This window comes from Homo sapiens, chromosome 1, assembly GCF_000001405.40.
Source record: "Homo sapiens chromosome 1, GRCh38.p14 Primary Assembly".
In the NCBI taxonomy this organism is placed as follows: Eukaryota; Metazoa; Chordata; class Mammalia; order Primates; family Hominidae; genus Homo; species Homo sapiens.
Window position 1 is genome coordinate 195,150,545 of NC_000001.11, and position 11,619 is coordinate 195,162,163.

Below are 11,619 nucleotides of genomic sequence, written 5' to 3' on the forward strand. Positions count from 1 at the left end.
ATCCTTCATTTTTTTTTTTAAGATAGGGACAACTCACCCAGGCTGGAGTGCAGTGGTAGGATCATAGCTCACTGCATCCTTGAACTCCTGGGCTCAAATGATCCTCCCATCTCAACTTCAGGAGTAACTGGAACAATAGGCACCCACCACCATGTCTGACTAATTTTTATTTTTATCTTTGGAGACTACATCTCTCTATTTTGTCCAGGCTGGTCTCAAGCGTCTTGGCTTTAAGCCATCTTCCAGCCTCAGCATCCTGAGTAGCTGGGATTACAAGTGTGAGCCATTGCACCCAGCTGACAATCCTTATTAGCAAACAATTTCTAATAAATTATTTATAAATTAGCATAATGTAATAATAATGTAATAAATTTATAATAATTGTTAATGTAATAATGTAATAAATTTTATACAATAATTTTAATGTAATTTAAGTTTTTAATGTAATAAATTTATACAATAAATTTTTATGCAATAAATGGACAATATTTTTAATGTAATAAATTTTATAGATTGATAATTTTGGAGTATGGGAACTGTGATGAAATATGGGATATATTTTATTGTTACATATTGGTCGCAATAAAATAAATCCACTGGCTGGGCGCGGTGGCTCACTCCTGTAATCCTAGCACTTTGGGAGGCTGAGGTGGGTGGATCATGAGGTCAGGAGATCAAGACCTTCCTGGCCAACATGGAGAAACCCTGTCTCTAATAAAAATACAAAAAAAAAATTAGCTGGCCGTGGTGGCACATGCCTGTAATCCCAGCTACTCGGGAGGTTGAGGCAGGAGAGTCGCTTGAACCCGGGAGTCAGAGGTTGCAGTGAGCCAAGATCATGCCACTGCACTCAAGCCTGGTGATACAGTGAGACCCCGTCTCAAAAAAAAATAAAAAATAAAAAATAAAGCTACTAAGGAGACATAGATTAAGCTATCATTACTTTATAAGAAAGTATATATACATATACTTGTATACTTTATCATAAACTTTCTTATATATTTGCATACTTTCTTACATACACATGTATTATCATATATACATATGTACTTATATGTATACATATACATATGTATACGTATGTACTTATATGTATACATAAGTATACATATATACTTATGTATAAATATATGTCTATATACTTTCTTATATACATATATACTTTTTTATAAACTAATGAAAGCTTAATCTATGTTCATTGGTAGCTTTATTTTATTCCTTATCAGTATGGCTTGATGTTTATACCATTTCAGTACACTTAAAAGTAATCAATTTTAAAAAATTATGATATTGCATTCCATTATGTGGGTTTAACATAATATATTTAATCAATCTCTTTCTTAGATTTTTAGTTGGCTGGAATATTTTCTATATTCATTATTCATATATATGCATGCATTATTTTAGGATTAAATTTTATGATTACTGGGACAAATGTGTAAGCATTTATCTTTAAATTGAAAAAGTTTGTTGAATTTACCTCCATAAATGGTATGCAAATTCATTTTATAAGCAGCCTTCTGTGAAATGTTTGCTTTAACTAATAATTTGAAATAAGTGTCATAAACCTTTTTGATTCTCCAATTCTGATTTCAAACACAATAGTTCATTTTAGATTTAACTTAATAGTTTTCTTTTACAATAGCTATGTTTAAGAAGCTTTTTATAGATTTATACCAGTAACATACTTTTTCTATTGGATTGTTGGTTTTCTTCTCATATATTCTTATTTAACTTATATATTCTCCTTTCAACTTAGCAACATTAAGGTCATGTCATCAAACCATATCACTCTTTAACTGTTGATCTACAGATCCCCTTGTAGCAGTACTTTTAGTTATCTCAGTAATATTTCCACAACAAACACCCTGCCAATTATCTTGACTATTTCAACATGCTTATCTATACCTGAGCTTCTCAGTTCCTTAACCTACTTTTAATAAATCTTCTCATACACATTACCACCCATCGCCATGCTTGTGAATCAGTGTCTCAACCATTGTTTTGATATAATGATCTCCTCAGCAATTAGGGGACCCAGTTGGAACCACGGTACCTGTAGTATCTGAACAGTCTGCTCTGGGGCTCTTTAAGAGAATGGTCTAAGCAGAGCAACAGTGATGATGTCATATAGTCCCAAGGCAGAGCAAACACAAGTATCCAGGTCTAGCATTGTTTATTCGATTATAACTCTAAGTATGACTAGGAACACACCCCACAACCTGGATATCTACTTCAGCAGACAACTGCAGAACAGTAGTTCACCACAGAAAACGAATTTCTGGTAGGCTGGATGAATTTATGTTCCATTCACTGAAAAAGAGAACAGTGTGGCCAGGCCCGGTGGCTCATGCCTGTAATCCCAGCACTTTCGGAGGCCAAGACGGGCAGATAACCAGGTCAGGAGATCGAAACCGTCCTGGCCAACACGGTGAAAACCTGTCTCAACTAAATATATAAAAATTAGCTGGGTGTGGTGGCACGTGCCTGTATCCCCAGCTACTCAGGAAGCTGAGGCAGGAGAATCGCTTGAACCCGGGAGTCGGAGGTTACAGGGAGCCGAGATCACATCACTGTACTGCAGCCTGGCAATAGAGCGAGACTCCATGAAAAAAAAAAAAAAAAAGGAAAAGTGCATGGTATAGAACTGGGAAAAAGTTGTCACTATAGCCACTTATCTCTGTTTTCTCTGGCATTTGATAATTCAATATGTCTTCTAAACTACATGTAAGATAATTGCTCTAAATTATCTTTGCAAATTGCTGAGTCATTATGTTAGAAATACTTGATATGCAAATATTCACTTGTTTTCAAATTATTTCACATTATCCAAAATATTTTAGTGAAATGGCAGTTCAAATCTTTCATCCATTGTTGTATTGGGTTGATTACAATCTCATTAATGGTGACAATAATGAGAATAAGAATTATAATTAATGAAGATAAATGTATGGCAAATAACCAGATGAAAAAATGTTCAGTCTCATTAATGAAATAATTACAATCTCAATATGGTATCACAAAACCCTTACAAAAATGGATAAAATTAAGAAGACCTTATATATTTTGAACTAGCTTCTACATATTACTGAAGGGATACAGTCATTTTTAAATCAATAGAATATTTGTTCTTTGTTTTTATGTTCAAAAAAACAAGAAATGAAGTTCAACATGGGAATAGCTGGTATGCTGAAGCTCCTTTTATAAAAAATAAGTGCGTTTGGTTGCTGATTTTTATTTTCTGAAAGTATTCATGAATGAGGACTTCACACACACACACATACACACACAAATCAAAACTGCAAGAGTAATTTTTGTTAGCATCCTGATGCTACTCTTTATCTAATACCATATGTAGTCATAAGAGTAGCATAACCAATTGGTTCCCTTACACTCTTAATTTCTTTGTATATGAACTAAGCAGTCATTAAAATAAAAATGATTCATAGTAAAGGAATAAATTTAGTGTCATTTCCTTTTTTAATTTATTTTAGTTTACTTTGATTTTTTTAAATTTCAAATTTATTGTAGATTCAGGGGCTACATGTGCAGTTTTTGTTACATGAGTATATTGTGTAATGCTGAGGCTTGAGGTGTGATTGATCTCATTATCCAAGTAGTAAGCATTGTACCCAATAGATAATTAGTTCTTCAACCACTACCCCCTTTCCTCCTTCCCTCTTTCTTTTAGTGGTAGCAAGGGACTTTTGTTCCTAACTTTATGATCATGTGTACCCAATGTTTAGCTCCCACTTTTAAGTGAGAACATGAGATATTTGGTTTTCATTTCTGTCTTTAAGTATATACATCATATTCATACATTTTCAAAGTTTCAAATCCAACATTTTTAATAGTATGTCACTTGCCAGAAATGAATTGAGAAATCAACAGGCAAGAAAAAAAATATTGGGCTGGGCGCAGTGGCTCACACCTATAATCTCAGTACATTGGGAAGTCCAGGCAGGTGGATTGCCTGAGGTTGGCAGTTCGAGACCAGCCTGACCAAATTGTAGAAACCCCGTCTCTACTAAAAATACAAAATTAGCCAGGTGTGGTGTCGCATGCCTGTAATCCCAGCTACTTGGGAGGCTGAGGCAGGAGAAGAATCGCTTGAACCTGGGAGGCAGAGGTTGCAGTGAGACGAGATAGTGACGTTGCACTCCAGCCTGGGCAACAAGAGTGAAACTGTGTTTCAAAAAGAAAAAAGAAAAGAAAAGAAAAGAAAATCTCATAACAAATATCAACACAAGCTTTTAAATGATGTCAAGTATCATCTACATCACTGTCAGCAACTGTGTGTTTAAATCTGAGAAGCAGCTATGTAACACATATTATTCTAAATTACATTCACTCCAATATTGGACATTTTTGCTAGAGTTACTCTTCTCTAAAAAACAAAGTATAATTATAACAAAAATTATCTTGAATAGAGTAGAATCTTGACAATTTGATAGAAAAGTGTAAGGTATCAGTTCGTGACCCAAGGTATTATCACAGTATGTTCAGGTTACAGGTGATTTACACACACACACACACACACACACACACTTTTTTAAAGAAGAAAACCACTAATATTACCTCTTTGTTTAGATGCTAGCATCAGAATCCATTTATGAATTTTTGTCTCTTGATCTTTAGGTCTTAAACTTCAGGGATGTTGAGAACAATCACCATAGATATACGTAACATCTCTTATTGCTTCACCTAGTACAAAAGCCTTAGGAGTAACCCCAGGGGAAAATCCACTCTCTTGCTGTGTACTTAAAAATCATTTATGCTTCCTGGATTCAGCATTCAAGCAGGTCATACTAACAGAGCAATGCAATTAACCTTTCCTATAAATTAAATGTGCAAATATTCTATGCAGTACTTGCTTAGAATAATTCTCCATCATTTATAAAATGTTAGAAAAGTAATTTTCCATCATCTGCTAGGCAGTTTAAAGATTAATTATAGAGTTATATTTTTATTTTTTAACAAATTATCTGTTTTCAGAGGCAAGAGGATCATAAGTGTTGGTGTGTGTGTGTCTGTTTCTCTCATTTTATCACATTTTCAAGAGCGCATAAGTCCTTCTTAAGAAAATGAGACTGATTTTTTTCTTGTAAATTTGTTTGAGTTCATTGTAGATTCTGGATATTAGACCTTTGTCAGATGAGTAGGTTGCGAAAATTTTCTTCCATTTTGTAGGTTGCCTGTTCACTCTGATGGTAGTTTCTTTTGCTGTGCAGAAGCTCCTTAGTTTAATTAGATCCCATTTGTCAATTTTGGCTTTTGTTGCCATTGCTTTTGGTGTTTTAGACATGAAGTCCTTGCCCATGCCTATGTCCTGAATGGTAATGCCTAGGTTTTCTTCTAGGGTTTTTATGGTTTTAGGTCTAACATGTAAGTCTTTAATCCATCTTGAATTAACTTTTTTATAAGGTGTAAGGAAGGGATCCAGTTTCAGCTTTCTACATATGGCTAGCCAGTTTTCCCAGCACCATTTATTAAATAGGAAATCCTTTCCCCATTGCTTGTTTTTCTCAGGTTTGTCAAAGATCAGATAGTTGTAGACATGCGGCATTATTTCTGAGGGCTCTGTTCTGTTCCATTGATCTATATCTCTGTTTTGGTACCAGTACCATGCTGTTTTGGTTACTGTAGCCTTGTAGTATAGTTTGAAGTCAGGTAGCGTGATGCCTCCAGCTTTGTTCTTTTGGCTTAGGATTGACTTGGCGATGCGGGCTCTTTTTTGGTTCCACATGAACTTTAAAGTAGTTTTTTCCAATTCTGTGAAGAAAGTCATTGGTAGCTTGATGGGGATGGCATTGAATCTATAAATTACCTTGGGCAGTATGGCCATTTTCACGATATTGATTCTTCCTACCCATGAGCATGGAATGTTCTTCCATTCGTTTGTATTCTCTTTTATTTCATTGAGCAGTAGTTTGTAGTTCTCCTTGAAGAGGTCCTTCATGTCCCTTGTAAGTTGGATTCCTAGGTATTTTATTCTCTTTGAAGCAATTGTGACAATCCCATCAAAAAGTGGGCAAAGGACATGAACAGACACTTCTCAAAAGAAGACATTTATGCAGCCAAAAAACACATGAAAAAATGCTCACCATCACTGGCCATCAGAGAAATGCAAATCAAAACCACAATGAGATACCATCTCACACCAGTTAGAATGGCAATCATTACAAAGTCAGGAAACGACAGGTGCTGGAGAGGATGTGGAGAAATAGGAACACTTTTACACTGTTGGTGGGACTGTAAACTAGTTCAACCATTGTGGAAGTCAGTGTGGCGATTCCTCAGGGATATAGAACTAGAAATACCATTTGACCCAGCCATCCCATTACTGGGTATATACCCAAAGGACTATAAATCATGCTGCTATAAAGACAGATGCCCACATATGTTTATTGTGGCACTATTCACAATAGCAAAGACTTGGAACCAATCCAAATGTCCAACAATGATAGACTGGATTAAGAAAATGTGGCACATATACACCATGGAATACTATGCAGCCATAAAAAATGATGAGTTCATGTCCTTTGTAGGGACATGGATGAAATTATTAATCATCATTCTCAGTAAACTGTCACAAGGACAAAAAACCAAACACCGCATGTTCTCACTCATAGGTGGGAATTGAACAATGAGAACACATGGACACGGGAAGGGGAACATCACACTCTGGGGACTGTTGTGGGTTGGGGGGAGGGGGGAGGGATAGCATTAGGAGATATACCTAATGTAAATGGTGAGTTAATGGATGCAGCACACCAGCATGGCACATGTATACATATGTAACTAACCTGAACATTGTGCACATGTACCCTAAAACTTAAAAGTATAATAATAATAAAAAAAAAGAAAATAAGATTGAAATAGACACATAATTTTTTGAGAATACACTTGTATATTTGATGATCAGTTTCATTAATTTTTTTTCTAAAGTAATGCGTATTAATTAATTTGACACGCATTTACTTAGCACCTTCTGTAAAAGTTCAATGACAGTGCTGAATATAAGAGAGAGTTCTTATCCTCCAAAACTATCTATGTATCTATCTATCCATCTACCTATCTATCCATAAAAAACACTAAATACAAGTAACTCAAAAAACAAAACCATATGTATATATTGTTTATATGGATATTTTGTTTATATGTAGTGTCATGTATGTGTAACAATTATATATATGTCATTAAGGTAGATTATTTCTTTCATATATGTGTGTAATATACTGTGGCTTTGCCACATAGTTCTAAAATTATAAATAAGTAAGCAAATGAAACAGTTCTTTGGAAGTAAATATTATTTTGTTGGGTTAGCTGTTGTTTAATCCACTTCCCACAATTAACTAATGAATATACTTTGATAAATAATTGATATCATAGTGCATAAAACAAGATTCTATTAAAACATATTAATTGATAACCTTCATATGAAATGTAGTTCTAGATATGCTAAGATCATAAAGCTGGACTTATTAAACCTTTGTTGCAGGACTTTTTCTTAGTTCAGCTAAAGATGGGGTTCTTGTCCATCCCAGGGCCATGAAAATTTAGGCTCACAGATGGTTTAAAGGGTGAGTAAAGCAGGGTTTATTGGGTGAAAAGGGAAAAATAGAGGAAACAGGAATCCTCCGCAAGGCCAGACTCCCCTGCTAGAGTGCTTCCTGCCTGGGAATTGGAATACCAGATTCTACACAGGAAGAGGAGGGGCGAGTCTCTTCCCTGCCGCAAATGTTGTTAACTTCCCAAGGCTCCACCTCAGTGGATAGACTGATTGGAGTTTCTCCAGGGAGCCCCTCCCACCTGGCTGTCTCACCTTTAGTGACAAAGAAAGGCCTATGTAACCGCTAATCACATTAAACAGCATATTTCAGTTGGTAGAGTTTTGTATAGTAAATTCAAATCAAGACATCTTTTTAATATAGTGCTGTGAAAATAAATCCCTTGACCTTCATTAGCATTAATACAAATGGAAAAAGCATATGAATGTGAAGAAAGTTATTATAATTTTCATCATAATAGTATCTTTAATAACAAGATTTCCTTTTCATAAATCAATAATTACAATAAAAAAGTATGTTTGTGGACATCCTGAATGTTTATTGAGAATGAAGCTCAAGGTACTGCATTTTATTCCATCTTAATATGGCAGAATAAATCACAAGGTACTGTGAAATACTAATTAATAGCTTTTAATTGTGGGAGAAAGAAAATTATTGCAGCTGACAATGTAAATCTTCAAAGGACTGATTTTTTTTTTTATTTCTTTTGCTGTGAAACTACCGCTATGGAATCAGGTTTTATTAATTAATTAATATTTGCAATGATTAACATAAAAGAAGATAGTTCATTTCCGTTAATGTAATACATTAGCCGTTTTAAGTCAGGCAATCTCAGAAATATAACAGTAGAATTACAGAAGTATACAGTAATATGCTGTACAATGTAATATGCTGACCTTCCCATGAAAACTTGCTGTTTATTTTGTATAAGATATTTAATGCAATGTCCCTTGACAGAACAGAAAGATGGCACAGTGAGATTTTCAAATTAATATTTATTTTATCACAGTTATTAAAAATACATTTGTTCCATTTCACTTCATTCCTTATTTATACAGTTCTTTTGAGTACTACATTCTATTCACTTTCTAAAACTGAACACATCCACTGCAATCAACAAGAGTTGATAGCAATGGGCATATGGCTTACAACGATAATTGTTTAAAATAATATAATGCGTACATAATAGAAATAAGATTCACTATTCCAATGATAGCAACTTAACTTTCTATCTGAAGTTAAATTATGTGTCTAGGTAAATTGCTGGAAAAGATAGAAGTATGATGCAACGACTAATCTCTGCTCTATTGTTTTCAAGTCCTATCCCACATTATTTTTTTTTTCAAGATATATATGGAAACTTCCAATTTTCTTCAACTTTCCTGTTCTTTACTCTTTGATTTACTTTTTCATCTCATTTACTTTTTCCTTTTGCTTTCTAAAATGCCTTTTTTGTATTCCTTGGGGTTTTCTAATTAATAATTTTGTTTCTCATTCCATGGCACATTCCTGTGACACTGCCAGCCCCTGTAATTAACTAATATGGTTTTGTACTTCCATATATTTTATATTTCAACTAATTATAATTTGTCATGGCATTCTCAGAGGCCTTTGAAGCAGAGCAATTCCATCTAGAGTAGAAGCTTGGTAAAATAAGGCTGAAAACTACAGGGCTGCATTTCCAGATGGTTAGGCATTCTAAGTCACAGGATGAGACAGGAGGTCAGCATAAGATACAGGTCATAAAAACCTTGCTGATAAAACAGGTTGCAGTAAAGAAGCTGGCTAAAACCCACCCAAACCAAGATGGTGATGAGAGTGACCTCTGGACTTCATCACAGCTGCACTCCTACCAGCGCCTTGACAGTTTACAAATGCCATGGCAACATCAGGAAGTAGCCCTATATGGTCTAAAAGGGGGAAGTGTGAATAATCCACCCCAATAAATAACCATGAAAATGGGCAACTAGTGGCCCCCAGGGCTGCTTTGTCTATAGAGTAGCCATTCTTTAATTCCTTTACTTTGTTAATAAACTTGCTTTCACTTTGCACTGTGGACTTGCCCTGAATTCTTTCTTAAGTAAGATCCAAAAACTCTCTCTTAGGGTCTGGATCCAAATCCCTTTCTGGTAACAGCATCATATACAAAGAAATATTGTCATTATCTTGGAATACATGAATTCTGAAAATCAACATCTACATATATTATTTTACTTAACATAAACTTATAAAACATGGAATATAGCGCTCAAGTAACTTAGAAGAAATCCATAAGTCAGTAAAAGGGAATCTCAGAGAAACAACTGTATGTGTGTGTGTGTGTGTGTGTGTATATATATATGTATTGTTTTCTCATTAAATGTTTATTTTATTATTACTAAAAAAGTTGTTGAAAATAATTAACTCCTAGCCACAACTTACATTGACAAATGATAAAAATAGTGGATATACAATTGATGAAGTAAATTAATTGGTTCTTTTCACTGGACCTTTTTATCACGTAATATTTCTGTAGTTTACGTTACGAACAAGCACTTAACTATTTCACCTTCATAGGCAAAATAAAGTTAAAAAAAATTGGTAATTATTGTAATAATTCTGCCTAGCAATTTTGCTTTGCTACTTAGATAATTAAGAAAAGCACCTGTTTATTCTAATTAGCAAGATAACTTTATTTACATTTACTTAGTAGACATGCTACTGTCAAAGTAAAAAGTGCACTGGGCAAAGTGAAACAGGTTTGAAAAAGGACTGTATCCAAGACTATTGCAACAACTGAACGGAACTGCATTTAAACAAAGGGTGGGAGAGCTTTGCAGTGAGGTGGAAAATAGACCCTCTGCATTTCTAACTGGCCTTACTCAAAGGAAAAGTAAACTTTCTCAAGTCTTCATTACAGAAGGTAATTTTACAACGTGGAGCAAGGCACCCACTTAGTTTAGGTGGAGCCTTCCCTCCCACAGAGACTAAGATATGTCCATTCTGTTTCTTGGTGATGACCTTTGGAAGGCATGTTCCCCAGATCCTTAAAGAAGACACACTTGGGTTTTAAAGCCAACAAGAGTCTTTTCAAAGATTTACATTTCAAAGAAAGAAAGAACTTAAAAGTTTTCAGTGTAAATACTCCAGGAAAAGAGAGGTCAGGGGCTTAGAAACAAAAAGAAGCTTGTCTAAATGTGGTCAAGCTGAGGGAAACATTATGTCTTCCTTGGTCATTAGATATAACAATAAGGTACCGCATAATAACTTTCTCATTAATATTTAAAAAAATAGGTATTTACTTGTAGTCTCAGCTACTTGGGAGGCTGAGGCAGGAGAATCACTTGAACAGGGGAGGCAGAGGTTACAGTGAGCTGAGATGGCACCACTGCACTCCAGCCTGGTGACAGAGCAAGACTCCGTCTCAAAAAAAAAAAAAAATTAGGTATTTACTATAAAATGTTTGCTTAACAATCTTTATAGTTCTGCTTACGTTAGCTATTTCTTTCAAAGAAGCTTTTTAATTATGTTTCCATAAGTGTATTCATATCCATCTTATCTATTTATTTTAAGGCATTTTAATTTGATACCTCACTATTTTTGTCAATAAAGACTTCAGTGATTCACTTAAAATCTCTATAAATTGTGTTATTTTGTTTTGCGCCAATGACTTTCCTTCTTTATATTTTATAATGTTTTCAGGTAAAACTAAACTTTTGGTTATAGTTTTCATACAAACTTTTAATTGACCATATCACATTCCGTAAAAAAGTGCTAGTTTTTCTGCATATTTGATTTACTTCCCTCATTCTTCTTGACTTAATTTTGGAACACATATAAATGTTAAACTTACTGTTCTTTATTCTTAGTTAAATTGTCCTTAATTTGTCAGTTTATCAATTGAAAGTAATATGCTCCAACCTATTGTTTGGATCAAATGTTATTAAATTTTCTTCTCACTTATATATGTCATTTTCCTGTTGCATTTTAATAATTCCACTATGCTTTACAGAATTAATAAACAGAAAAAAAATAAGCAACATACTCATGCCCTTAACAGCTGAGCTTA

The 11,619-nt window shown here is 34.3% G+C and overlaps 1 annotated feature.

The window, feature by feature from the left end:
• Window positions 10,202–10,402: a silencer, noted in NCBI's record as "peak625 fragment used in MPRA reporter construct". NCBI's record gives its function as "represses an SCP1 promoter by STARR-seq MPRAs in K562 erythroleukemia cells {active_cell/tissue: K562}" and the evidence as "EXISTENCE:reporter gene assay evidence [ECO:0000049][PMID:32103011]".